This window comes from Homo sapiens, chromosome 14 (genome assembly GCF_000001405.40).
Source record: "Homo sapiens chromosome 14, GRCh38.p14 Primary Assembly".
In the NCBI taxonomy this organism is placed as follows: Eukaryota; Metazoa; Chordata; class Mammalia; order Primates; family Hominidae; genus Homo; species Homo sapiens.
In genome coordinates, this window is record NC_000014.9 from 77,307,164 (window position 1) to 77,334,723 (window position 27,560).

The 27,560-nt window shown below is 49.7% G+C and overlaps 2 protein-coding genes across 16 annotated transcripts in view, besides 8 other annotated features; one reads left to right on the forward strand and one right to left on the reverse strand.

Annotated features, from left to right (window-relative positions):
- Window positions 1-13,720, reverse strand: part of POMT2 (protein O-mannosyltransferase 2) — a 45,928-nt gene extending 32,208 nt beyond the window's left edge. For 8 of the 9 annotated variants that reach the window (XM_047431318.1, XM_011536677.4, XM_047431316.1 and 5 more), the window contains exons 1-2: window positions 13,271-13,720; window positions 4,786-4,870 (exon numbers count right to left, since the gene is read on the reverse strand). In XM_047431318.1, the coding sequence (XP_047287274.1) occupies window positions 4,786-4,870; window positions 13,271-13,518 (333 nt within the window). In that variant the 5' untranslated portion in view covers window positions 13,519-13,720. The remainder of the gene's footprint in view (window positions 1-4,785; window positions 4,871-13,270) is intronic. The other variant, XM_047431314.1, reaches the window with a different exon arrangement.
- Window positions 103-397: a silencer, noted in NCBI's record as "tiled region #2495; K562 Repressive non-DNase unmatched - State 23:Low". NCBI's record gives its function as "represses a minimal TATA promoter and a strong SV40 promoter by Sharpr-MPRA in K562 cells {active_cell/tissue: K562}" and the evidence as "EXISTENCE:reporter gene assay evidence [ECO:0000049][PMID:27701403]".
- Window positions 13,207-13,256: a silencer, noted in NCBI's record as "silent region_5969". NCBI's record gives its function as "represses an Ori minimal core promoter by ATAC-STARR-seq in GM12878 lymphoblastoid cells {active_cell/tissue: GM12878}" and the evidence as "EXISTENCE:reporter gene assay evidence [ECO:0000049][PMID:35858748]".
- Window positions 13,487-13,866: a silencer, noted in NCBI's record as "silent region_5970". NCBI's record gives its function as "represses an Ori minimal core promoter by ATAC-STARR-seq in GM12878 lymphoblastoid cells {active_cell/tissue: GM12878}" and the evidence as "EXISTENCE:reporter gene assay evidence [ECO:0000049][PMID:35858748]".
- GSTZ1 (glutathione S-transferase zeta 1) lies at window positions 13,873-24,434 on the forward strand. 7 transcript variants are annotated; one of them, NM_001312660.2, is made up of 10 exons: window positions 13,873-14,020; window positions 15,384-15,569; window positions 17,707-17,758; window positions 19,675-19,742; window positions 20,309-20,389; window positions 20,749-20,874; window positions 21,960-22,038; window positions 22,592-22,644; window positions 23,147-23,196; window positions 23,906-24,434. In NM_001312660.2, the coding sequence occupies exons 5-10, from the start codon at window positions 20,339-20,341 to the stop codon at window positions 24,030-24,032; spliced, it is 486 nt and encodes a 161-aa protein (NP_001299589.1). In that variant the 5' UTR covers window positions 13,873-14,020; window positions 15,384-15,569; window positions 17,707-17,758; window positions 19,675-19,742; window positions 20,309-20,338; the 3' UTR covers window positions 24,033-24,434. The 7 variants fall into 7 exon arrangements, with proteins under 7 accessions (NP_001299589.1, NP_665877.1, NP_665878.2 ...); XM_024449551.2 differs by lacking the exon at window positions 13,873-14,020 and adding an exon at window positions 14,104-14,400; NM_145870.3 differs by lacking the exon at window positions 15,384-15,569.
- Window positions 13,947-14,216: an enhancer, noted in NCBI's record as "active region_8798". NCBI's record gives its function as "activates an Ori minimal core promoter by ATAC-STARR-seq in GM12878 lymphoblastoid cells {active_cell/tissue: GM12878}" and the evidence as "EXISTENCE:reporter gene assay evidence [ECO:0000049][PMID:35858748]".
- Window positions 13,947-14,955: a biological region, named in NCBI's record as "H3K27ac hESC enhancer GRCh37_chr14:77787600-77788461".
- Window positions 14,094-14,955: an enhancer, noted in NCBI's record as "H3K27ac hESC enhancer chr14:77787600-77788461 (GRCh37/hg19 assembly coordinates)". NCBI's record gives its function as "activates a minimal SCP1, AML or CMV promoter by ChIP-STARR-seq in naive H9 embryonic stem cells {active_cell/tissue: H9 hESC(naive)}" and the evidence as "EXISTENCE:reporter gene assay evidence [ECO:0000049][PMID:30033119]".
- Window positions 14,487-14,536: an enhancer, noted in NCBI's record as "active region_8799". NCBI's record gives its function as "activates an Ori minimal core promoter by ATAC-STARR-seq in GM12878 lymphoblastoid cells {active_cell/tissue: GM12878}" and the evidence as "EXISTENCE:reporter gene assay evidence [ECO:0000049][PMID:35858748]".
- Window positions 22,439-23,638: an enhancer, noted in NCBI's record as "CDK7 strongly-dependent group 2 enhancer chr14:77795945-77797144 (GRCh37/hg19 assembly coordinates)". NCBI's record gives its function as "activates an origin of replication core promoter dependent on BRD2, BRD4, P300/CBP, MED14 and CDK7 cofactors, with strong dependence on CDK7, by STARR-seq in HCT116 cells {active_cell/tissue: HCT116}" and the evidence as "EXISTENCE:reporter gene assay evidence [ECO:0000049][PMID:35650434]".
- Window positions 24,435-27,560: the final 3,126 nt, after the last annotated feature.

Genomic DNA, 27,560 nt, shown 5'->3' on the forward strand with positions numbered 1-27,560 from the left:
AAGCAATCAGAAGCAGCTGAAGTATAAAAACTGCTGGCAAATGCCAACCATCTGGGACAGCCCCAGGCTGCTCCAGCCTGACCCCCGAGCTCTGGCAGGCTGTGTTGGGGGAGGGAATACACTGGCTGTGTGGGGAAAGTCCCTCCCAGCCACACTTGTGGGACATGGATTTAGACTACTAACCAACCCACTTTTTTCTCTAAGTAGTTCTAAACAGAGCCAGTCTCTATAGCTCCAGGTCAAGGTATAGAAGCCAAAGTCTGGCAGTAAAAGACAACAAAGACTTGTTTTTAAAAAGGAAGGCAGGGACCCCAGGGTTCAGACAGGGTCATCCAAATAGCTAGATGAACTAAAGCTGCCAAGTGGCAATCAAATGGATCCCTCTTCCCACCTGGGATCTCGCAGGACAAGCTCGCCTGGTATTGGTCATACATTTCCAGACTGCTTGGCTGGTCTAGAGAGAAGAAATGTACAGATGCTTTGGATCTCAGTACCCTATATTCTAGTTCTCTGATCACGGACAATATTTAGTATCTCTGAGCTATAGGTAATAAAAACTTCCTCACAGGGGGCATGAGGATTAGAGGTGCTATTAAGTAAACACCTAACACTATACCAAGCACTTGGAAGACACTCAAAATTCAATTCTCTCTCAGTTCCCTTAAGGTTAAAAGTAGCCCCAAGTTAATTTCTTCTTTTTTTTTTTTTTTTTTTTTTGAGACAGAGTCTCGCTCTGTCACCCAGGCTGGAGTGCGGTGGCACAATCTCAGCTCACTGCAACCTCTGCCTCCCAGGTTCAAGCAATTCTCTGCCTCAGCCTCCCGCATAGCTGGGATTACAGGCATCTGCCACCACGCCCGGCTAATTTTTGTATTTTTAGTAGAGGCGGGGTTTCACCATCTTGGCCAGGCTGGTCTTGAACTCCTGACCTCATGATCCACCCGCCTCAGCCTCCCAAAGTGCTGGGATTATAGGCATGAGCCACCACGCCTGGCCCCAAGTTAATTTCTTAACTAAACAACTCTTTCAAATCAATAGAAAAAAAATGAATTACTAGAAAAAAATGACAAATTCATAGAAAACAAAATACAAATGGCTAACATATGAAAAAATGTTCAACCTAACTCATACAGTCATGCAAATGAAAACAGTGATATGTCATTTTTTACTCTCCAATTGACAAAGTTTTTTTGTTTTTTTTTTTTTTTTGAGATGAAGTGTTGCTCTTGTCACCCAGGCTAGAGTGCAATGGTGCGATCCCAGCTCACTGCAACCTCCGCCTCCTGGGTTCGTGTGATTCTCCTGCCTCAGCCTCCCAAGTAGCTAGGATTACAGGCACCTGCCACCACGCCCGGCTAATTTTTGTTTTTTTAGTAGAGACGGGGTTTCACCATGTTGGCCAGGCTGGTCTCGAACTCCTGACCTCAGGTGATCCGCCCGCCTCGGCTTCCCAATGTGCTGGGATTACAGGCGTGAGCCACCGCGCCCGGCCAACAAAGTTTTTAAAGTATGATCGTACCAGTGCTGGCAATGATGTGGGGAAGAAAGCACTGTCATACACTGTTGGTGGGAGTATATATGATTACAACATCTTTGCAGGAAAACTTAGCAATATCTAACTCAATTTTAAATGTGCATATTCTTCGATTTTTTAGCTTGGCTGCTGGGAATTTTTCATATATACCTGCGCAACTATACAACGATATATGTACAAGGATGTTCACTGCAATATCTTTTGTAATGACTAAAAACTGGAAATAACATACATGCTGCCCACCAACTGAAGAGGGATAAATACTTACGGCACATCTACATAATAGAATGACACACGGCCATTAAACAGAATGAAGCGCATCTTCATGTGCTAATGTGGAAAGAAGATATATCATGTTTCAAACACAAGCTGCTGAACAACTGTAGACTTATCCCATTTGAGTTTTTAAAAAGAATTGTGTGTATATATAATGTGTTGTTCATGTGTACATATATAAAAACATACACGCTTGTATTTGTATAAAAGAATTCCTAGAGGAATGTAAGAAACTATTGACAAAGATGACCGTGGTTACCTCTGCGGACTAGAAATGTGGTGGATGAGGCTTCTGACCCTGTACTTCCTTCTGTCTACTACGTGCAGGCTTTTTTATGTTTTAAGTTCCTGTCTTATGTTTTAAGTTCCTGTTTAAGTTCCAGGTGCCCAGGGTTGGTAGGCAATGTGAAGTGGCAGGTCTTGGCCTCAGTAGCAAAGGAGAAAACTTCCTGCTTGCTACTTGGAGGGGTTTTGATTCCTTGACTGGCTTGGCCTCAGAACCTGCAGAAGCTACTGCACCCTCTCACAGGTTTCCAGTTTGCTCATCACTCTCTTTCAACCAGACAGAACACAGAACCATCAGGAGCTAAATTAGGGGTGCAGATGGGCCGCATTCCCTGAGGGCAGCCTTAGAAGCCTCACACTTCTCCCTTCACACGGGCAACCAGATGTGAGGAAGGCAAGGCTTTGATATAATATTATTATATTTATTTATTTATTTATTTTTGAGATGGAGTCTTGCTCAGTCGCCCAGGCTGGAGTGCAGTGGCACGATCTCAGCTCACTGCAACCTCTACCTCCCAGGTTCAAGCTGTTCTCCTGTCTCAGCCTCCCAAATAGCTGAGACTACAGACGTGTGCCACCATGCCCAGCTAATTTTTGTATTTTTACGTGGAGTTTCACCACGTTGGCCAGGCTGGGCTCGAACTCCTGACCTCAGGTGATCTGCCCACCTCAGCCTCCCAAAGTGCTGGGATTACAGGCATGAGCCACCACGCCTGGCCTAAGGCTTAGGTAAATTAAACAAATCAGCCAGTCCTGTGCACATGTCCACAGTGCGCTGAGAACCAGGAAAACTCCAAAAAAGAACGGGCAGTCCCCACAGAAAGACTGGGCTGGGTTTCCTATGAAAAATCTTCATCAGAAATCTGGTTCCCAGGCGAGCTCCATGCAAATACTCAACATGTTCTGTTGTTTAATTCTATGGTAGTAACAGATGTAGTCTGAGGAGTGAGCCAAGGCAAGCTTGTGAGGCACTGTGGTGTCATGATTAAGAGAGAAGGCTCTATGCCAGCCTGACCCTTGAATCTGCCACTTACTAGCTTGGTTCCCTATGACGAACTACTTATCTTCCTTCAGTTCCCCATCTGTGTAATGGGGATGAAACAATACCTACTTTATAAGGTTGTTCTGAGGCTTACATGAGATAATGCCTCTAAGGTGACTAGAACAGAATAAATGTTTTTAATTGTTCTTGTTATTGTTGTTATAGTATAAAAGAGATAGGAAGAGGCATAATATGTTCTACACTTTTCTTGGGCTCAGAGCCAATTTTGAAATAGGCTACCTGTTCTACCTCGCTTCCCATCCCTCCACGCTGTAGGGCCCCCTGCTCTCATGCTTCCTTAAGCCCAACCATAGGTGATCTTTGTGATCTTTGATAAAAGATTACACTCCCTGCCTCCTCCTGCCTTCCCTGCTCCTGCCTTTATCCCCCAAGTACTACCTGCTCCAAGATCCCTCCCCACTTAATCACAGGAAAATTCCTGTCCCCTTGGTGCCCAAGATCTAAGTCTCCAGTTAGGAAGAAAGCCTTGAGTGAATTCCAGGGCTAATCCGAGAGCCTTCTCAGAGGTTTTTGTTTTTAAAAGACTAAAATGGGCCAGGTGCGGTGGCTTGCCTGTAATCCCAACACTTTGGGAGGCCAAGGCGGGTGGACCACCTGAGGTTGGGAGTTCAAGACCAGCCTGGCCAACATGGTGAAACCCCGTCTCTACTGAAAATACAAAAATTAGCCAGCGTGGTGGCGGGCGCCTGTAATCCCAGCTACTTGGGAGGCTGAAGCAAGAGAATCACTTAAACTTGGGAAGCAGAAGTTGCAGTGAGCCAAGATTGTACCATTGCAGTCCAGCCTGGGTGGCAAGAGTGAAACTCTGTCTCAAAAACAAACAAACAAAAAAAGAGTAAAGTGAATTCTAATTGGTTGAATTTCTAATGGTAAAACATGTGAGAGAAACAGATCAAACCATGTGTATGCTGGGCATGGGAAGGGAGAAAGAAGTCAGCCCCATATGGATATCAGCCTCGTAAGCTATTTCTGCTTCATGCAATGTATTCCTATTTCTTTTTTCTTTTTTAAAATTCAGACAAATTCACATAACATAACATCCACCATTTTAAAGTGTGCAATGGGTGGTTTTAAGTATATTCACAAGATTGTGCAATCATCACCACTACCTAATTCTGTAACATGTCATCACCCCATAAAGAATCCCCACACCCATTTGCAGTCACTGCCTAATCCTCCCTGCCCTGAGATCCTGGCAACCACTAATCTACTTTGTGTCTCTGCGGATTTGTCAGTTCTAGATATTTCATATAAGTGGAATCACAGGGTATGTAACCTTTTGTGTCTGGCTTCTTCCATTTAGCATGTTTTCCAGGTTCATCCATGTTGTAGCATGTATCAGAACCTCATCCCTTTTTATGACCAAATATTATTCCACCATATGGCTGTGCCACACTTTGTTCATCCCTCCCTCAGCTGATGGGCCCTCTTTCCATTTCTGAGCCCAGAGGACCCTTAAAAAACACCAGAGATTTTCCATGAAAGTAGCTGGTCTGAAATGTCAGAAAATTCTTTCTACAAGTCCCAAATTCTTTCTAGAAGCCCCAAATCCAAAATCAAGATGTGGCTCCAGCCCTTAGGAACAATCCTCTGGGACCAGAGAGCTGCTATTCACCACACTGCTCACCTTTCCCAGGGGCGGGTGCACATCAAAGAAAAATGTACGGTTGATATAGTAACTTCCCATTTTTCCAAAGTGAGTCTCATCCCAACTAAAGGAAACACAGAAAGAGAAACAAGAATTTTAAAATTATCATAAAATCCAAATGGCCTTCATAAAGCATGGTTAAAATTAAAGGCTATGCATTTCAAACAATTAATGCAAAAGTCTGGATTTAAAAAAAAAATATTTTGACACAAGTGATTTTAGGAAGAAAGACATCAAGCTGGCCACTGGTCTTCATTTAGATAGATGAGAAAGGCGAGCAAATATTCACTAGCCAGTTACCAATTGAGTTAAATATACATATACTTACTCTGTATCTTGAGTTTCTATTTATTTTAAAAGGACAAGATGTTTTCTCATAATATGGAAAGGTTTGTAGTAAGAGTTTTCTTCTGGCCGGGTACGGTGGCTCACACCTGTAATCCCAGCACTTTGGGAGGCCGAGGCAGGCGGATCACGAAGTCAGGAGATGGAGACCATCCTGGCTAACATGGTAAAACCCTGTCTCTACTAAAAATACAAAAAATTAGCCAGGCATGGTGGCACGTGCCTGTAATCCCAGCTACTAGGGAGGCTGAGGCGTGAACCCGGGAGGCAGAGCTTGCAGTGAGCCGAGATCGCGCCACTGCACTCCAGCCTAGGCGACAGAGTGAGACTCCGTCTCAAAAAAAAAAAAAGTTTTCTTCCTATCTTCAAGTAGCTAGTGTAAACAAAAATTTAAATTAAAAAAAGTTTCTTCCAAGTCTGCTAACTTCTGAGACAACATTTGCTATTAGAAGGTCCATTACGACGCTGTTGGGCTGCTGGTCAGAGTTGAGTCTATAAACCATGAGTGTCACAGGAGTCTCATTTTGCTCAGCCACCCTGTGACAAGTAAGCTGCTAACTGTGATCTGGCTGATCTTATACTAACTAGTATATAAAAGTTGAAGGCTTTCTTACTAAATTAAGACCACATCTAAAACCTATCCTCATTGCTTAAGTTATTTTGCAAGTAAATAAGTGATTTGAATAAACAGGCTTTCAAACACAATGCAAAGTCCTCTTTTATACAACCACATACACCTTTCTACACCATACATGAGGGCTTTGGGAACGCAGCCAAGTCATCCAGCAGAGCCTGGCCTTTTCTATTTGTAATTTTCTCCCTGTAGCTCAAAAGAAGGGTTACTTTCTAGTAGTCATCAATCCCCAGGTCATGAGCAGTCATTATTGACCTACTACATAAGGGGAAAACATGCTTTACCTAAGAATCTAAGGTTCTTTTTATATCTTACTTGGTGGGTCCAAGATAGGCAAAAGAATAGGTCTATTTCAGCATCTGCTAAACACCTTGACAGGCAGTGAGGACATTGGCATGGTGAGGTCGAAGACAGAAATAACTTCAAAGCAGGGTAATGAAACTGATTTGCAGAAAGAGAGATCCAGTCCCAGCTCCACCACTAATTAATGGCACAACCCGCCAAAATCACTTATTCTCTCTAGTCCTCTTATCTCATCTACAAAATGAAGACAATAATATTATCTGCCCTGCCCACCTCCCAGGGAGGCCTTAGGGCTCAACTCAGATAACACATGTGAAAGAATTCTGTAGATTATAAAGTACCATCCCTGCTGGGCCCTCCTTAAACTGTCCTGACATTTGTGGTTAGTTTTTAAATCTGTTTGGGAACATACTAACAAAAGGATTCCAGTTTTTTTGTTTTGTTTTGTTTTGTTTTGTTTTTGCTTGTTTTTTGAGACAGAGTTTCACTCTTGTTGCCCAGGCTGGAGTACATGGACACAATCTTGGCTCACTGCACTTTTCACCTCCCGGGTTCAAGCGATTCTCCTGCCTCAGCCTTCCAAGTAGCTAGGACTACAGGCGGCCGCCACCACACCTGGCTAATTTTTGTATTTTTAGTAGAGATGGGGTTTCACCATGTTGGCCAGGCTGGTCTCGAAACTCCAAACCTCAGGTGATCCACCTGCCTCAGCCCCCCAAAGTGCTGGGGTTATAGGTGTGAACCACCGCACCCAGCCTGGGCTCCAGATTTTTACTTCAAAAGTTTCCCAAGTAAAACCAGTTGTAACATTCATATTTCCTCCTGGCTTTTATTGCTTGTGTTAGGAGAGACAGTCCTCCGTGGCTCTCTTGTGCTCCTCCAGGCCTTGCAAGGTATGCCAAGAATGCTGTTTGCAGTAAACAACCTTGAGGGAAGTTAGTGTCTCCCTCTGAGACAGAGGGCTGTCTTGTTTATTGCTTGCCATAAAACAGCAGATTCCCTAAGCTTAATATTACTCAGCTGTGATGCAAGCTACTGCATGTGCAAGCATTCATCCAGTCCCTCAGCACCACGTGGGACTTAGGGGCAAAGGAAACTGATGCCAACATGCTGATGCACATCCCACTTGCTGTGCCATGAGAAATAAAGTCCTCTGTCTCTGACCCAAGACTTTGTCTTCTGTCAGCATGCAAAAAACAGTGACAGGCTAACTTATTAGCTAATAAGTAGGCTAAGATAAAATCACAGCCCCTGACAGTGTGGAGACAAGCATAGGATGAGGAGAGACATAGTCTTTGGTAAGAGAAAGAATGAGGGCCTCCATGGGCAGGCAATGGGGTAGTGAGAGTCCCCCACTGTCCCACTATTAGAGAGGCTGATGGAAAGAGGTAGGATTGAAACAAGCCACTGAATGTCACCCTGGTTACTGCCCTGTCCTCTGGGCAAAAGGAGGAAGAGGAGTGATCATGACAATGGCAGCAAGCCCAGCAGCCCCTGCCAAAAGGCAATATGGATATGGCTGCTCAATCAACAAGTCTCCAACGGTGCGGCAATAGGACCCTGCTATATAAGATAGAACTTTGAGTAAAATGAAACACTGAAAGATCCTTGGGGGAGCTGTGTACTCAAGCCAAAAGTAAATATAAATATGACTTGCTTTGTGGCTCGGAGCCACTCTCTCCCTTTATGTCCCAGGATCCCTCCCACTCTACCACAACCTCAGCTGCATTAAAGACTGAGATGATTAAAGGTTGGGCTGAGGTTTCCATGTCCCTAAAGGGGACTGAAGGTCATACACACCCATCCTAGTATGCTGGAGAGCCCCAGGGAGGAGAGGGGCAAACTCAGGGCTCTGCTGGATATGAGGTCCCACATCTCCACCCTACCATGTCTCATGGGGGGAAGGATGTACTACACACAGAGGTTACTGCAGACACTCAGGACTGCAGGGACAGCCATAGCAGTGCGCACAAGGACTAAAGGGAAAAGGGCCCCTAACCCTGAGGGAGCGACACTGGGGAGGTCGTGATGCAAGCCTAGTGAAGAGCTAAAGGAGCAGAAAAAGCTTCTCCCCACTCCCTGCAGCCAGCACCGCCACACTCTCCGACTGGGAAATGGCAAAATCTCTGGCTGGCTGTCACCATAGCCCCTGATGCAGGCCTTCTAGACGCATTAGTTCGAGGGGAAAAAGTGTCCAGATTAAACTGGTAATGTTTGAGCCACGCTCCCTGTAGGGAAGGGAAGTTAAAGTGACATTCCAGGCAGAGCTCTTTGGGCCTCTTCAATGTACTATTCCTGTGGCTTCCAGTGCTGAATGTATAGCTGATACTGATCCCATAAGTGTCGAAGAGGATTATCCTGGGCAAGGGCTGCTGTGTGTAGACAGGTGATCCTGTCCTCTCCTGGTGGTCCAGAAGAAAAAAATCTACATCCCTGGAAGGGAAAGGAAATAAATCACAGGCTTAAAAACTTCGTGGCGGCTGGGTGCAGTGGCTCATGCCTGTAATCCCAACCCTTTGGGAGGCCGAGGCGGGCGGATCACCTGAGGTCAGGAGTTTGAGACCAGCCTGGCCAACATGGTGAAACCCTGTCTCTACTAAAAATACAAAAAGGTAGCCAGGCGTGATAGGGGCGCCTGTAATCCCAGCTACTCGGGAGGCTAAGGCAGAGAATTGCTTGAAGCCAGGAGGCAGAGGTTGCAGTGAGCTGAAATTGCGCCACTGCACTCCAGCCTGGGCGACAGAGCGAGAATCTCAAAAAACAAAAACAAACAAACAAAAAACAACTTTGTGGCTGCTGGAGTACTGAGAGCCATGCACCAGAATCACAGTGCCACCTGCTGGACATAGGTACCAAGCACACCCTTTTTAAAAGGACAGCTATTAACTCCTTAGTTAACTACTCAACACTTTGAAATTGATTGCCAGACCCATAAAGGCCTCAGGACTCCCTGGCCTAGTATTCCCACTTTGGGGTGGGTCAATGGGAATCTACTGATAACAAGGGAAGGGTTTAACAAGCCTCACTGATCCTATGGAAATAGTACATTCAAGAGTACAGCTGGTAATCCCAGCTATTCAGGAGGCTGAGGCAGGAGGATGGCTTGAGGTCAGGAGTTCAAGACCAGCCTTGGCAGGATAGTGAGAACTCAGCTCTTAAAAAATCTGTTTTAATTAGCTGGACATGGTGGCACGTGCCTGTAGTGCCAGCTACTCAGGAGGCTGAGACAGGAGGAGCCCAGGAGTTTGAGGATGCAGTGAGCTATGATTGTACCACTCCACTCCAGACTGGGCAACAGAGTCAGATCTCATCTCTAAAAAAAAAAAAAAAAAAAAAAAAGAGTATAGCTAGCCTGGCCCTAGAGGCATCTTGGTTTTACGTGAAGAAGTGGCAGCTCCCACTCTGGGAGAAACAACCTTCTCTGCTACCTGAAGCCGAGCTGCTGTTCAGTAGGGCCCTTGATTCACAGGGGTTCCTGTAAATGCTTAGGCCTGGCTCACCAATGATTAGGCTGAGTTAAAAGCTGATGTTGCCCACCAAGCAGCAGCAGGCACTTAGCCCCAATGATAACTCTGGATGGCTGATGGCAGTAAGGATTGAAGCATTTGGTATGCCACTTGGAAGACTAAATACTGAGAGATGAAAGCTGAGAAGTGTGGAAACACATCATGGCTGCCTGCCAATAGGACAGACTGGATCACTCACGTAGGTGCCCACACTAAGGGCAGGTACTCTCGTAAGACTGACTGGAATCAAACTGCTGATCCAGCCTGCACCACCAAGACTGCTGCCATAGCCACCTGGATTCATGCAACCGGTGTGGAAACATCTACCATCATGGGCTAGGCACAACGTAAGGGACTACATGTTTCTGAGGCAGAAGCCACCACTGCGTGCCAGACTTGTGACTCCTGCCAAAAGTTGGCCTGCTTGTCTTGCAGTAAAGGAAGCCACATTGCAAGGGGCACTGACCACACCTGCTCCTGGGAGATTGACATTAGGACTTTGTTCCCTTCTCTAGGCTCTCATCAGTACCTTGCTACTGCTGATACTTTTTCAGTTTACAGTGCTGATGTTGCTTTTCCAGTCCAATTATCTGACTCTGTGTATACCACTGTGGCCCTTGAAACTAAACTGCCAGGTTTTCTGCTTTCCAAACCATCTACAGTCTGACACTGGCATATCTTTTTGTCGCAATGGCCACCCAACAGTGTCAACAGTCAATAGCCAAGGTATTCGATGGACCTCCCACACTCCCTACCATCCACAGGCATGACATTGTCAAGTACTGAACAGTTCCCTCAAAGATCAACTCAAAAAGATTTTTGATTCTATGTTTTTAACCTCCTCCTGGTCTGCAAACCTTACTGAAGCAGTTTGGTCACCTAAGGCAGCCATTCTCAGAAATGGGTCATCTCCTTTTGCCTACCAACTGGGTAATGATCAGGAAAAAGGGGTGGAGGGTTATATAAACCTATTTTGAAAATGTGAGATTCTCCCCTGACCATTTCTGGCCATGATTCATCTTTCTTCCCCCTTACAGAAAGCCCAGATCAGCTGGGAGGAGGAGGCTATCTATGTAATTCAGACTTAATTCTAGTTCAGTCACTAGATTGTCTTGTTGGAATGGCCTGGTGCCAGAACATAAAGTTAATGATCATTTGGTTGGGTATAGTGCTTTTAAAGTCCCCCTACAGTGGCCCACATGTGTCAAGGTAGAAGACATAATGGGCCTCTGTCAATTTTCTAACAATTGGATATTAGAAGGCCTGCGTATTGGTAGGGGATAAATGGAGAAAAGGTGAAGTTATAGTTACTAGGGTAGGACACACTCATTATGTAGCAATGGAAGGAAAGAAACAATCCTGGCATCTGGGGAAGGAACACCACAGGACCCTGGAGATGTAAAGAGAAGGGAAACAATGTTCTCTTTGTCCCTATCCAGCACCAAAGCCTGGCAAACATTCACATGGTCCATCTAGGTCAAGCAGCAACTGTGGCTGGCAATCTGACCTGTGGCTGAGTTTGTCATCTCACTATGAAAACATAAAAACTTTATCTAGCAGGTCAGTATAAAAAAGAAAATAAAAAAAGAAAACAAAAACTCACATGGACACGGCCAGTCTTGAACTATTCCCACGTGCCTGATGACATCAACACCAACTCCCAAACGCAGACCTCCCTCATAGGTGTGCAAACACACAGATCAGCACCACCTTCTATCAATGCGGCTGATACAAATCACATGCTTCTCCTGAGATCCTAAGGGCCTTACTTAGGTTATGCCTTGTCTAGTGATTGAGGCTGCAACTGTTCAGTGACACTGCCCATGTGGTTTAAACCACTGTAATGGTAATCAAATTTGATGGTGATCCAAATAAAAATCTAACAAAAATCCTGGAGTGGCCTGCACTCCTCCAAGTAATATGTTAGTGTAAGGAAGAATGGGTCACAAAATATCTTTCCATTAATCATGGTAGTTAATTTTTTTTTTTTTTTTTTGAGACAGAGTCTGGCTTTGTCGCCTAGGCTGGAATGCAATGGTGCGATCTTAGCTCACTGCAACCTCTGCTTCCCAGGTTCAAGTGATTCTCCCACCTCAGCCTCCCGAGTAGCTGGGATTACAGGCACCCGCCATCATGCCCGGCTAAGTCTTGTATTTTCAGTTGAGACGGAGTTTCACCATGTTGGCCAGGTTGGTCTCGAACTCCTGACCTCAGGTGATCTGCCCGCCTCGGCCTCCCAAACTGCCGGGATTACAGGTGTGAGCCACTGCGCCCAGCCTGGTAATTACTTTCTTAAAAAAATTTTTACAAGGGTAGTGGGCTATTGTAATTACTGGTAATGACACCAAAGATCAGAGATCAATCTGAACCCCTGTGCACAGGTCACAGTGGTTAATAGACTGGTCTTAGACTGCAGCCCAGATGTCTGAAATAAGATTCCTCGGTGCCCCCAGGACTTATTCACAAGTGGCTGAATCCAGGACCCTGGAGGGCATGGTTGAGGTAAATACTGTAAGCTGGCCTTATTCTGCTGCTTAGAGTCCCATTGACAACAACCTTAATTAAATGCTGTAAGGGACAAACTGAAAAGATGTGAGTAGCCAGGGGAGTTGTATATTCATGTGAAAATCTGCTAGAAGCCAAGACCATAGAATCGAGGAGTGAGAGAGGCTGTCAGATTGCTCGTGCCTCTACACATCATTCTGGGTATACCAAGAATGCAAGGCCCTGACTGCATCTCACCTGGGCCATTTCTCATGGTTGTGTTTGCAGCAAGCAACTTTGAGAGAAGAGGCAGTGTCTCCCTCCAGGACAAAGAGGAGGTCTGCGTACTGCCTTCTATAAAACAGCAGATTTTCCAAGCTTGTCGTTCCTTCACTTGGATGCAACCCACTGCCTGTGCAGTCATCCATTTAAACCCATAGCGTCACCCTGTGGGACTTGGATGGCAAGGGAAACTGCTTCTAACATGCATCCTATTTCCTGTAATAAAGTCCTTTGTCTCTAACCCAGGAGTCTCATCTTCTGCCAGCAGTCACGACACAATAACAAGCTAATTTATTAATTTCTAAATAAAGCAACCCTGACAGTCTGTTTTCTTGCCTGCTTTTTGCTTAAAGAATTCCATTTCTGACACCCAGTATCTGGATAGTACAAGCTAAAACCTTTAAGAAAATAAATCTCTTCTCACAAGAAGAGTTCTGCCTCATAAAATCCTTTGGTCACCATACCTGAACACCCAAACTGTCCTTGCCCTATAGGATAAAGGTACACAGTTAGGTATTTTCTCCTCTGTTGATGCCTGAAAATCCTGCAGACATAGGAACTCAGGCCTTAGAAAATTCTGTACCCAAAAATTTGCAATTCTCTTTGGAAAGTTGAAAGCACCTTTAAAAGCCACAATTTGCAAGCCAGGTGATGCACTGTAGCATAACCTGGAAGACATGAGGGCTGCTTCCTCAGATACTAAGAATCCCACTGCCCCACCACCAGAGCAAAACGATCCCCCTCCCAGAGAATGCACCTCGCCAGAGGCCAACCCACCCGATACCTCAAGTTCCCCTCCACCGTGGCCCTCCTCCTATAGATCCCGCCCCCTCCGTACCCTCGGGCCAATCAGAGGGCGGCGTCCCGTCGCGGTTGCCATGGTGCCCGCCGAGTCCCTCCCATCACTCACCAGATGTGCGGCGGCTCGTCCAAGCGGTGGAAGCGGGTGGCGAAGGACAGCAGCGTCACCAAGGCCAGCAGGGCCCACCAGCCGACCGCCTCGAAGCGCCGTGAGCCCCAAGCAGGCCGTTTGGGGCTTCGCGCCACAGCCTCAGCGGCCACGTCCCGGCCTGCGGCCCTAGCAGCCTGGGGGCCACAGCGGCCCCTCCGGGGACGCAGCTCGGACTCTGCCAGGCCTCCGCCCGTGGCCGGCGGCATCTTCCCCCTCCTCTGGGTCGCCCTCCGGCCCGGAGGCACACTTTGTCTGACCAGCCGCCCCGCCAAGGAGTCACAAGAGGGCAGCTCGGGGTACCCCGGGAAATGCAACGCCCTTCACTGCAGCGGAGCGCGGGGCCCCGGGCTCGGGGCGGGGCGGGCAGCGTGGTCGCGGCCCGGGCCGCTAGGAGGCGGCAGGAGGCGCAGAGCATGTCGGGACCGGGAGGGCCGGCCGGCCCGGGGCGGGGGGGACTGGGCAGGAGGGGTCGGGCTCAGGGAACTGCAACTCCCAGCAGCCCCCAGGTACGGGGCGTGGCGGGAGAGCTGGGCGAGCCAGAGGCGACCGGAAGGATCTTTCTAGTCCAGCCCCTCGCTTTACCCGGACGAAAGACACGGGCCTGATTCGTCGAGTCTCACTGAGCCTTAGTCGTCGGCAGGTCCCAGGCGCGAAGTTTCTCGGCCTGGAGGAGGGGGTCGCGCGAAGTGCCAGATGCAGGCGGGGAAGGTCTGTGACGCGCACCCGGGTGGAGGGAAGCTGGTTAGACACCTGGAGACCCTGGGGGGCGGGGTCAGAAGTGAGCTGCACCGCCCGCCCAGGCCGACAACGACTCCCGGCATGCAGTGCTTTGCGCCGGGCACGCTCTGCGCCTGCGTGCTGCGCGCTGCCCGCTGGGGCTCGAAGTTCCGGGAGGGTTGGGCCAGAGGAGGCGGTCCTGGTAGGGAGTGCGTAGCAGGGTGGAGTCGCTGTCCGGTCGCGCTTCACTTCTGCTCCGCCCTCCCTGCTCCCCATAACAGACCCCTCCCTCCACTAAGGCTTCCAAACGTCGCCCCAAGCCTCCCAATTTCTCGCAGCCCTTCATGCTCTTCTCTTGGCCCTAGCAGGAGGTGACCTTCCAGTAATGTTTGTATTTTAAGAGTCCCCGGGCCGGGCGCGGTGGCTCACGCCTGTAATCCCAGCACTTTGGGAGGCCGAGGCGGGCGGATCACAAGGTCAGGAGATAGAGACCATCCTGGCTAACACGATGAAACCCTGTCTCTATTAAAATACAAAAAAATTAGCCAGGCGTGGTAGCGGGCGCCTGTAGTCCCAGCTACTCGGGAGGCTGAGGCAGGAGAATAGCGTGAACCCAGGAGGCGGAGCTTGCAGTGAGCCGAGATCGCGCCACTGCACTCCAGCCTGGGCGAAAGAGCGGGACTCCGGCTCAAAAAAAAAAAAAAAAGGCCCCGAGCGAGGAGAGGCAGTCATGACAATCACCTGGGGAGCTTCACGGCTTTCACATGTTCTTCCCGGGGCCTGCTCCAGAGCCACTCTGTTCATCTCTGGTGGAACGGGCTCGAGAATCTGCATGTTTTTATAAGCGGTCTAGATGGTTCTTAACGTGCCATGAAGTTTGAGAACCACTTTTGTGGCACTAAGGAAGGTGGCACGTTAGATGGGACTTTGCGTCACGTTAATAATGTATAGTCCTCCCTCTTCCAAATGGGATTTTAGGAGTCTTTTTCTCAAATCATGTGTAAGACATGGTTTAAAAATAAAATCTGCTAAAGTAATCAGAATGCATATTTGAATTGGAAACACAGGTCTTCTAGGAGTGCTGATGAGATGGATACTTGGGCTTAAAGTTTAGTTCTACAAGTGCAGAAAGGAACGGGGCATGGTTTACATAGTTATCACTGGTAAGAGAAGGCAGAAATTGCCTAAGAGATTTCAGGTTTCCTGCTTGTGGGTCGTGACGGAGGGCAGCAGCATTTACCATGCTTCTGGTCACTCGTAGTACAGATCCAAAGGTGTAATCCAAAGGCATTTAGCCATTAGGTAAGGCATTTCTTCAGGGATTCTAAGCTAATTAATGTCTGCCACACTCTAGTGGTCACCAGCAGTCCCTGTCCCTTGGCACCAGGAGTCCCTGTAGCCTGGCTAGGTAAGGAAAGGGAGTTGCATCTCCAAATAAGGAAGATCCAGTTGTGGCCACCCAATTCCTCCTCTTCGAAAGACACTTTCTGCCCATCACCTGCTTTCTGTGCCAGGACCATCTTTACTTTCTCCACAAAAGGTACCTTCAGGACAGGCTGGGACTGCTGGGCTTGGGAACCATCTTGGAAGGGCCTAGGTTCCCACTTACACCCTTGCCATCTAGCAGACTGAGTTGGTAGTACAGGGATGGCAATAGCAAGTTCAGAGAGCAGCTTAATATGCTAGGGGTGGCAGAGGGGAGAGGGAGCTTTGGTGAAATGTCTATAGTCAGAGGGGTAGTAAACAGGGCATCTGAGAAGTTCTTTCAAGTTCTCCCCTATCCATAGGGATACACATGTTTTGGTGGGAAGATTCATGAGTGCTAATCACTGGCGAGTCTTTCCTGGGTTCCACTTTGAAATGCTGGCTCCCGAAGAAGTACCAGAGAAATTAACTTTGAGCCCCTTAAACCTTGGAGTAGAGATCGCACACCCAGCTGCCCCCAAGGGCCCAAAGGTAACAAAAATGAGAAAAGTGGGCCAGATATGGGCCATGGCAGACCTGAGAGCGCATACGCTGGTTGATGGGGGCCATTAGTCTGTTCCCATCAATTGCTGCTATTTAGGAACCCAAATCTGTCTCCAGATTTTTTTAAAGAAAAAAAACAAACAGGTGTTGTATATAAAATATCATGATTTTTATTTTTATTTTATTTTATTATTTATTTATTTTGAGATGGAGTCTTGCTCTGTCCCCCAGGCTGGAGGGCAGTGACACGATCTTGGCTCACTGTATCCTCCGCCTCCTGGGTTCAAGCAATTCTCATACCTCAGCCTCCCAAGTAGGTGTGATTACAGATGCACACCACCACACCTGGCTAATTTTTGTTTAGCCATGTTGTTTCGCCATGTTGGCCAGGCTGGTCTCGAACTCCTGACCTCAGGTGATCTGCTGGCCTCAGCCTCCCAAAGTGCTGGGATTACAGGCATGACCCACCATACTAGAATGAAATGTCCTGATTTTTAAACATTGGCAACTACTTGAAACATTTTAAACTACTGTGTTGAGCAAACAGAAATTCTGAGGGCCAGATAGGGCCCCAGTGAGCTGCCAGCTTTTGACCTCACCTTTGGGGTGAGTGAGCATATCTGCCAGCTGTTTTTATGGGGACAGCCGAGAGCCCGGAGGACTGCTGGGAGGTGGGGTTGAAGGAGATATGTACCAAAGCGTCAAAAAATTAGAATTCCTTGTCTTGCTGCATTGCTAGAGGATGCCCTGCCATCATTTTAGGGCAACCTTTGTTTTACAAATGAGGGAGCCGAAGATTTAAAAAGGCAGAGGTTTGTCCAAGGTCATGCAGAGCTGGTTCCTGCACCAGGTCCAGACTCCAGATGCCAGCTCCCAGCCCGCTCCACCACTCAAAATACTGCATCAAAACCAGGCCACGCTCTGTTGGGGGGACACCAAACCTGGCCCCAGCAGGAGCGTAAGAAACTTCCTGCGAGTTGGAAAAAAATGCCTTTTTTTTTTTTTTTTTTTTGAGACGCAGTCTCGCTCTGGAGTGCAGTGGTGCGATCTCGGCCCACTGTGACCTCCACCTCTCAGGTTCAAGCTATTCTCTTACCTCAACCTCCTGAGTAGCTGAGATTACAGGCACCCACTACCACACCTGGCTGATTTTTTTTTGTATTTTCAGTAGAGACAGGGTTTCACCATGTTGGCCAGGCTGGTCTCAAACTCCTCACCTCAAATGATCCACCCACCTTGGCTCCCGAAGTGCTGGGATTACAGGCGTGAGCCACTGTGCCTGGCCAGAAATGCCCTTTCTGACCAGAGTCAAAGTTCCCCCAATGCCTGGGTAGCCCAGCTTCCCCATTGGCTCCTGAAATCCACCCCTTTAGGTTTCCTTTCCCTGCTCAGAAGCTGTGCCAGAGGGGACATTTCCTGGGAGGCTGAGGGTCACCACGATACCATGACAGAGTCTGGCAAGGTATGGAAGGCACTCTCAGGCTAGCTGCCCCTTTGGGGGCCTCTTGGACCTCAGGAGCTCAAACCAGCATAATTTTGGAGCCAAGGGACCTCATGAGCCTCTCAGAGAGCTTGGAGTCTGCCCTGATTTGCACAGATGCAGGCCTGAGAGAGGAGGCCTGGCAGGACAGGAAGAAATGGTTGACTCCTCCCAAGCTGGAGCCCACCCAGCATGGGTTAACACGCGCCTTCATCCTCTCTCTCCTCAGCCCATCCTCTATTCCTATTTCCGAAGCTCCTGCTCATGGAGAGTTCGAATTGGTAAGAGATGTGCCTCCTCCAGGATGAGTGCTGGAGTGGGGTGGACTGGGGCGGATAAGCCCGGGTGCAAAGCTGGCCTGGGATGGAAGGGTTGCTCTGTCAGAGAGGACCTCACCCCCAGCAACCAGCATCCCCCGGCTCCTAGAACCCCCATCCCTGCATGGCATCTCCACCCCGGAAACACAGGGTGAGGGTGGGAGGAAGGGGGTTGTTTTTTCCCTTGGGACTGACACTTCTCCCAACACTGCTCTCCAAAGCCCCTTGGCAACCATGTTTAAAGCAGGGTCACAAAATCCACATGCCCCTGGTAACTGGCAGGGGAACAGCTGGCCCTTCTCAGTTCTTATTTTATTTGAACTGGCAAAGCAAACAGAACGGGCCAGCATCAGCCTCGGAGGCTTCAGAAAAGCAGAAACAAGGGCCCTGTGGCTAGTCCTTGTTTGACCCTTCCCTCCCTTGGCTTAACACAGCCTTTGGCAAAGGTCATAACCAAAGCAGCCTGTACTGAGGAAAAGCTCTGTGCTGAGTGCTTTTGTGTGCCTGATTCCATTTAAACCTCAGCAACCCTAGGAGGGAGGTACTATTATTACTGTCCCCATTGTATAGAGGAGGAAGCTGAGGCACAAAAAACAGGCAACATTCAGTAACTTGCCCAAGATCTTTCAGTTACTAAGAGGCAGAACTGGAATTTGAACCAGGTAGTCTGGCTCCAGAGGCCCATTAAGTTACTTGCCCAGGGCCACACAGTTAGCAAATGACTGTGATGAAATTTGAACCCAAGAAGCTTGCCTCCAGAGTGTGGAGGCAAAGCCATCCTCCGTGACCCCTCCTCCATCCCATAGTCACTTGGTATTTGCTGGGATCAGTAAGCAAGAGCACTGGGTGCCAGGAGAAACTTTCCTCCAAGAAGATGAACCCATCCCTGGGCGCCAGTACCTCTGCCCTGGCTGAGCCAGAAGCCGGAGCAATATAGGTGCTGTCTGTACGGCCTGTGTGCTTTGGCCTTCCCTCCTCCAGGTGTCTCCTCCAGCCCCAAACACTGTCACTCCCCAGACTGGAGCTGACCAACACTAGGAGGAGCCTGGTATTGCCCAGGCTCTCCACACCATGACATGTCTGGTCCTCCTCCCCTCATTCCTTTGCCCTTCCCTGAGATTGGCCATCACCATACTTGAATGCCCAAGTGTGTGTAATACACACATGCATGCACACGCACGCAGTCTTCTCCACTAGTGTTGACCCACCCAAGTTTTTTTTACCCTCAGCTTGCCAGGGGAAATTATCAAAAGGGATGGAGAGGAAATCTGGTGACTGGAGTCACGGCAAATGCTCTGAGGCCACCAAAGAGCCTGATGCCTGTCTAGAATCTCTAGTAAACAGCCCTGAGAACAGAGAGAATAGATTGGAAGAGATTCTTCTCCAACAGAACAAGAGTGCCATCTGTCTGTGTGTGCTGTGTGTGGCCACCTGAGCTCCTTCCCTTGGCCCTTAGTTGCCTTCTTGAGGGAGTAATTGCATGTCTTCAACCAAGACACTGGTCACCACTGTTTAAGGCCCTGGGGGGGCAGAGTTAAACACAACACAGCCTTGCTGAACTCCAGGAGCCCACAGAGTGCCAGGGCATACACCTTTATCACCATCCAGGGGGCATGAGGGCCCCATTGGGGGGGTCCAGATCTTGAGGTCTCTAAGAGTTCAGGGGTGAGTGAGGCAGAGCATCGTGCATCTGGGGTAGGGAGCACGTGGTGACAAGGAAAGCTGAGAGAAGGGGATAGTGCCACGGTGAGCCTTGACCACCCAGAAGTGTTAGAGAAGCCTCCCCCTCTTTGGCCTTAATGTCACCTTAGAAGGGCTCTTTCCTTTAAGAGTACGGCGAGAGGCTGTTCTTTGACTCCGCTATGTGCGGTCTCTCCTAGCTCTGGCCTTGAAAGGCATCGACTACGAGACGGTGCCCATCAATCTCATAAAGGATGGGGGCCAACAGGTAAGAAGGCTGTGCCCAGACCACAATGTGGGAATTGGAGGCCTTGAACAGGCACCAGGCAGGGGAAAAAGGGGAGGCTCTGCCCCAGAGAAGTGAACCTGTGTCTTGTGGACTATCACTGCAGGAGGCTGCTGGCTCTCCCTTGTGGGACAAGGTGGCAAGGTGTGCAGTAGCAGGAGGCCTGGGAAGGGCCCAGGTCCAGACTGTGTACCCTAGCCTGGGCTCTCCAGTGCCTGACCCTGGGAGGGTGGGTGGCTAGTGGGTCCCCACCCCATACTGGGCCCTCTGGATGGCTGACTAGGGTAGGAGCTGCCTTGGTGGCCACGGTGTGAGATGCAGGGAAAGCCCATAGCCAGGCTGTTAGGATGAAGCCTATGGCTCAGCAGCAGCTGGGCTTTGGGAGACTGCATGGATCCCCCAGGGATTACCCTGGGCCTAGGATTTAGGGCCTTCCCAGGGAAGGGAGATGGGGGTGGGTGGCAGGCCTGGGGTTCTCCTGCTTGCTTGGCTTTCCTCTGGCCAACTCAGGCCAGGCCACCCAGCCCACCAGGGCCTTGTCTCCACAGTTTTCTAAGGACTTCCAGGCACTGAATCCTATGAAGCAGGTGCCAACCCTGAAGATTGATGGAATCACCATTCACCAGTCAGTGAGTGCAGGGCCTGGGGGAGGGCCCTCATGAGAGCAGTGCCCTGAATGAGAGCGCCTGACATCTCTTCCTCGCCTGTGTACAGTCAAGGTGCCTAGCACATAGGAGAGGCTCAATACAAGACTCGTGGGGAGGGTGCGAGGTTATTTAGGAAAATAAGGGAAGATTCAAGCACATGGAGAACCAAGTTCTGCATGATAAGGTCCAAAAAGGCTTATAGGGCTTGAGCTGAGCAGAAGCAGGGGGGAAGAGGTGTAGTGATGGTGCTGGAAGAGGAGAAGGAGGAGTTTGCTGGCCCTGTCCCCTCTGGTCCAGGGGTCCTGGGCCCTCTCCCTGCCTCACTGCTCCCCTCTGGACAGCTGGCCATCATTGAGTATCTAGAGGAGATGCGTCCCACTCCGCGACTTCTGCCTCAGGACCCAAAGAAGAGGGCCAGCGTGCGTATGATTTCTGACCTCATCGCTGGTGGCATCCAGCCCCTGCAGGTGTGGCACTTGTACACTTGCACCCTTGCACACCTGACACACTCTTACACTCACACATTGGCTGTGAGCTGCCCAGTGTGGGGGCGGGGGTGTCAAGGGAGGGAGGGGGATTCTCAGGGCCTCTGACCTGGACCATGTGAAAGAAGGGGGTGAAGATCGCAATCTCAGAATTCAGCCCCCCAGCGGGTCCCCCGCTGCGTTCCGAGAAGCTCTAGTTTCCAAGGACGCATGTACAGGTGCTTGGGGTGGGGAAAGGGCCAGAATGGCAGGGGAGAGACTGAGCAGGCCCCAGTCCAGGCCTCCTGCCTTTAACCAGAGCAGCTTCCGTTTCATCTGTGCTATCTCAGTCATATACTGGGATACTTGTAGGATTTTATTTTTTAAGTGTCACTGTTAAAACAGACAACTAAGTATTAAAAACAGTTCATCTGTGCCAGCTTCTACTCTGAATGAGGAAATAGCCCCAGAAAGGTGGAGTGACTTAGGAGTCCCACAGGTAGGTCATAACAAAGTGGGGACTAAGTCAGAATCCCTGCATGCCTATGCCCTCTACCCGCATGTCGCTTTAACAAAGGATGTTGGAGCAGACAGACATCTCCATTTTATAATGAGGAAACAGAGGGAAAATGGCTCCAGGGGTGCCAAGATGGAGCCAGGCTGGAAATCTCTGGAAGCCGGTCTTGTGGACCTCCCTCATCCCAGCCCCACCCTCTTTCACACTCCCTCTCCTCACAAGGGACCATGCAAGGGAGAAGTGAGGGAGACAGGCCTCGAGTTGTGGGCACACCTGCCACAGCCATGGCCGCGTCCTGTGTCACATGAATAGGGATTCTTGCACATCTCTGACAGAATCACGTGGCTTTTTGAGGCCACTGGGGCAGCCTGCAAAGGTGGCTGCTGGGATGGCTACCTCCCTCCAACCTCAGGGCCCTTGGTTGAAGGAAGGGGCTCATGGAGCCTGGGGGAGAAGGGATAGACATCCAGCCAGGGGCAGATGGGAAGTGAACTTCCCTGAGGGGGTTTGGCGAAGGGGTAGCCCCCACCCAGCTGTCAGCGCAATCACAGATTTTCTTTGGGCTGCACAGAACCTGTCTGTCCTGAAGCAAGTGGGAGAGGAGATGCAGCTGACCTGGGCCCAGAACGCCATCACTTGTGGCTTTAACGGTGAGTCCTCACCTCTGTGAGCTGCCCCACAGTGGCCTCTTAGAGGTATGGCCCTCGCACACAGGGGCCTGGGTATCTGAACCAGCCTCCCAGGCTGCTTTGGGCCTGACAGTTGCATGGATGAGGGCAGGACTGGGGAGGCAATGGGCTGGGTGGGCATCCAGACCTTAGCTCCAGCACTTCTGGGAACCTCGGTCCCTGAGCCCACAGCCCTTCATAGCTGGATGGCCCAACTTCAGCTTCACTGCCTACTCCAGCTGGGAAACCAAGGCCAGCACAGCGCCAGCCATCAGAGTGAGAGCTGTCACCGTGGCCAGTGGCAGGGCTTGTCCACTCGAGTGGGGAAATGGTGATTGTCTGTGCGGAGCCTCAGGAAACAGCAGCTCATCCCTAACAGCTCTCTCGAGACCTGGCTGCCACATTCTCACCAGCAGCCATGCCCAGTCTGTCACTCAGTTGGGCGCCCATTTCATAACTATGGAGGCCAAGGCCCAGAAAGCTTTGTGTCCCCTCCCTGCGCCCAGAATAAGATGTTTATGTGGCCTCCCCACAGCCCTGGAGCAGATCCTACAGAGCACAGCGGGCATATACTGTGTAGGAGACGAGGTAAGCTGTCCCCAGACCTCCCCAGGCCCAGCCACAGTGGCTGCCTCCCTCATGCTGACCTCCCTCAAGCTCAGAGCTTCCTGAGAAGGCGTCTGCAGGGGGATCTCTGTGCCATGGGGCACTCCTCAGCTCACTCCCACTAAACCGTCTTAAGAGGGAGTTACTCAAGGTAGAAGACTGGCTGTGAGAGGATGAGGCGGGCCAGCATCAGTTGAGGGATTGTGCTAGATGATGTCTGCGCAGTCAAGGCAATCCATCTTCTCTGGCCCTCTCAACCCACAGAGTTGGTTGTCAGGGCAACTGGAGCATGGCCTGGGAGGGCACTTCAGCTCCGGGGGACAGACTCATGCAGGCCTAGGGCAGACAAGAATTGGAGGTGGGATGGGTGAAAGAGCCGAAGCAGATTGTTGGTACCCCCAGTAGAGTCGCAGTGGACACACCCAGTCCAGCCACTGACTCTGGGGTATGCACCCTGATGGGAACCCACCGGGACCTCTTTCAGGTGACCATGGCTGATCTGTGCTTGGTGCCTCAGGTGGCAAATGCTGAAAGGTAAGAGAGAGCCCCGCCACCCTCCCTTCTCGTGGCTCTGCCCACAGTCAGGCCCCACTCAGCTGGCGAGATAGCATCTCATGCAGACGCTTCGCCAACCAGCCAAGGAGCCCACCATGCCAGGCCACATAGCCACTTCTGCCTGGAAGAGGGCAGAAGAAATTGGGGCAGTGCTCCTACTACGCCCACCACAGCCCAGATGAACCTGTATAGATAGCCCCAGCTCCTAAGAGGAGGTGGCTCACCTGGTGGACCCCCAAGAGCACCTGCCTGATGTCCTCAAATGTGGTGTGTCTGTGAGCAGTAGTGAGCTCTACCTCTGCATCCTTCCGTGAACCCTTTGGTAGGGCACAAATGAGCACCTCTCTGGAAGGCATCATGCTAGGCGTTAGGGATATGGAAACGTATGGCACATTCCCTGCCCCCAAGAAGCTTACAACATGGGGGAAGAGAGTCTGTATATATAAATGCCTAGCACTGGGCCTTACACATAGCAGGTTCACAAAGAAATAGGAACAGTAGGTAACAGATGCCAAATGATACTGCACAAGACCTACCCATCCCCTGTGAATAAGGGCTGCCCCATCGTCCTTCCCTGGACAGCTCCCTCGACCTCATCCAGCCCTGCCTCTCTGCTCCCCCTGCTGCATCAGGGCAGTCTCCCTGTGTCCCTGAAAACCTTAGCTTAGCAGGTGTTTCTCTACTACAGATTCAAGGTGGATCTCACCCCCTACCCTACCATCAGCTCCATCAACAAGAGGCTGCTGGTCTTGGAGGCCTTCCAGGTGTCTCACCCCTGCCGGCAGCCAGATACACCCACTGAGCTGAGGGCCTAGCTCCCAAATCCTGCCCCGTTGGCACAGGGCCACAGGAGCAGAAGCTGGGTGGGCTGAAGAGGCCTGGAAACGAGAGTCTTAATTGAGGAGATGGGAGACTCGAACTCTAGCCCTGGATCTGCCTTCCTGCTGAAACTTGTTCCACCTCAGTCCCCTCATCTGTCACACGCATGTGGGGTGGAGTAGGGAGATGCGGGGAGCAGGGTGGGCAGGAATACTGTTATCTATGTGACGGGGCAGTCGTGAGGCTGAGATGAGAATGCGGATTAAAATGCCTGGCGTGCTCACCGTAACACCACGGGGAAGGCTGTGTGCCTTTTCTCATCCGCTTTTGTTGTGTGTGACTCCAAAGAATGCCCGCGCTGAAATTTGGCGTGAATTAAACTGAAGCCCAGGCCTCTACCTTGTTTGTCTAAGACTGAGCTAGGTTCCAGAAGATGAACACTGTCCCTAGCTGGAATCCCCTGTGCCTGGACCAGTAGAGGAAGTCAGTCAGCCACTTGCCTACCCTGTGGCAGGCCTGGCCCATGGGACCTAAGGGCAATGATGAGAAATATACCCAAAAGCCTGCCTGAAAGAATCAGACAAGATCCAGGGAGATAACAGATAGAAGCAGGAAAGCATCTAGTGACTGGCTGAGTTCTCAGGGCTAGGAATGGTACCGTTGTTAAATGTTCCACTCCAGGCTGGGCGCAGTGGCTCATGCCTATAATCCCTGCACTTTGGGAGGCCGAGGCAGGTGGATCACTTGAGGTCAGGAGTTCAAGACCAGCCTGGCCAACATGGTGAAACCCCGACTCTACTAAAAATACAAAAATTAGCCGGGTGTAGTGGCAGGTGCCTGTAGTCCCAGCTGAGGTGGGAGAATGGCTTGAACCTGGGAGGTGGAGGTTGCAGTGAGCCGAGATTGCACCAGTGCACTCCAGCTTGGGAGATAGAGTGAGACTCCATCTAAAAAAAAAAAACATATTCCACTCCAGCACTGAGAGGCCATTTGGCCCTCTCAACCAGTCCCTCGTCTTCAGGGCCAGCATTCTCCAGACCAGTCCCAGGATTAGGCACTCGGGGTAAATCCAGTCACAGATGGTGCTGGGAATGGGAGGCAGGCTCCCCCGTGGGCAGTGTGAGCAGCTACTGACCAGGCCAGCTTAGGAGACCAAGCAGGTAGCAGTGTACCACAGGCTGCCCTGGAGGGAGCAAGTTCCCATGCTTGGCAGTGTTCAGGCAGAACCAGGACCACCTCTGGGCAGAGATGCCGTACAGAGATTGGGGTAGCTTCTGGGGATGAAATGAGATGACTTTTTAGGAGCTTTACCTCTTGAAGGCCCCACCTCTGAATACTGTTGTATTGGAGATTAAGTTTCAACATGAATTTTAGAGGGGACATAAACATTTAAATCGTAGCAAAGACCATCACCTTTTTACAGGACATTTTCCAGTAGGGGCTTCTCTCAAACGGATGAGTGGTAAGTCAAGTCCTTCCTTTCCATATCACACTCAGCAGACACCTGATCCTGATATGCTAGAGGCACAGGGAGACTAGATATGTACGTGGTCTTCCCAGAGTGGGAGTGGCCACAGTGAAGGAAGAACAATGATGGAGGGGCCTGATACTGGTAATTCCAACTCTATGGAAGTAACAAGTCCCCAGAAATACTTCAGGAGGAGGAAAGCAGTAGGGAGGTGCTATCAGGAAATACCTGAGAACAAAGCAAAAATTATAGGCTGTGTTCCTCAGAAATTTTACATATCCATTAAGGAAAGTGGCAAACTTACTGGATAAACAGGTGATACACATACTCATACTATTTTTTTTTATTTTTATTTATTTATTTTTTTTTTGTGATGGAGTCTTGCTCTGTCATGCCCAGGCTGGAGTGCAGTGGTAAGAGCTCAGGTTCATTGCAACTTTCCACCTCCTGGGTTCAAGTGATTCTCCTGCCTCAGCCTCCCGAGTACTGGGATTACAGGCGCGTTGGTTAAGCTGGTCTCGAACTCCTGACCTCAGGTGATCTGCCCACTTCGGCCTCCCAAAGTGCTGGGATTACAGGCGTGAGCCACCACGCCTGGCCAAGATACGGCTCCTCCTAACTTTTAGTGTTTTGTTTTTGTTTTTTTTTTTTTTTTTGGAGACAGAGTCTCACTCTCTCGCCAGGCTGGAGTGCAGTGGAGCGATCTCGGTTCACTGCAACCTCCGCCTCCCAGGTTCAAGGGATTCTCCTGCCTCAGCCTCCCAAGTAGCTGGGACTGCAGGCCCACGCCACCACACCCAGCTAATTTTTGTATTTTTAGTAGAGACAGGGTTTCACCATGTTGGCCAGAATGGTCTTGATCTCTTGACCTTGTGATCCACCTGCCTCGGTCTCCCAAAGTGCTGGGATTACAGGTGTGAGCCACCACGCCCGGCCTAGATATTTTATTTAAAAAAAATTTTTTTAGAGATGGAGTCTCACTGTGTTGCCCAGGCTGATCTTGATCCTCCCGCCTCAGCCTCCCAAGTAGCTGGGCCAGCTCTTACTTCTAAACATAACTTATTTAGCTCTTGCTTCCAAGGTCACAGCAATTCTACTTTCAGAGAATACTTTGAACTAAGGATAGCTGCTGAGTTTAAGCCAGAAGTGCACAGGTTAAAGAACATCAAGGCTGAATGTCAAGAGCTGTAATGTGTGAGCTGCCTTTTGTAATCCTGAGCTATGTCAAGGTCAATGATATGACACATATGAATGCTTTTAAAAGTTAAAAAATAATCTTAAGGCCAGGTGCGGTGGCTCACACCTGTAATCCTAGCACTTTGGGAGGCTGAGGCGGGTGGATTGCCTGAGCTCAGGAGTTCAAGACCAGCCTGGGTAACATGGTGAAACCCTGTCTCTACTAAAATACAAAAAATTAGCTGGGCGTGGTGGCATGTGCCTGTAATTCCAGCTACTCAGGAGGCTGAGACAGGAGAATTGCTTGAACCAGGGAGGCGGAGGTTGCAGTAAGCCGAGATCATGCCACTGCACTCCAGCCTGGCGACAAAGTGAGACTCCATCTCAAAAAATAATAATAATCTTAAATATATTATGTGTTCACAGTGACATATTACATCCAGCATACCCAAACATGAATCATTAATGATCTCCAGCTACATGGAATCTGCCTGGGCTTTTTGTTACTTGTAGGGTAGTTTGGTGATTACATTCAACTGAATTGTTTCAGATCCCTTCTCTTTCATGCTTCAACCTCTAAAATATGTTGCAACAGAAAGCAGAGAATGATCTAACAGGTTCATTTTAGCATCACAGATATCACTGAAGGAAATATTTAAATGCCACCCTTCCCTGCTCAGATGTGAGTCCTTATTCTGCAACAGACACTAGGGATGTGGAGAGGCAGTGTTTTAAAAGACAGCAAAGATATATTATGGTGTCACTTTTTGTAAATGAAAATAGGCTGAATTCATATCACCCAGATTACGTTAATGATTGGCCTGGTATCCGAAGTCGAGGTTCCAAATTTGAACAGAATATCTTCATGGGGAAACAGGCC

What these genes read in the sequence shown, in the direction of transcription:
- GSTZ1 (NM_001363703.2), top strand. An exon ending in CTCATGGAGAGTTCGAATTG is followed by an intron (nt 17,759 to 19,674) that starts GTAAGAGATGTG and finishes GGTCTCTCCTAG; the next exon opens with CTCTGGCCTTGAAAGGCATC. An exon ending in TAAAGGATGGGGGCCAACAG is followed by an intron (nt 19,743 to 20,308) that starts GTAAGAAGGCTG and finishes TTGTCTCCACAG; the next exon opens with TTTTCTAAGGACTTCCAGGC.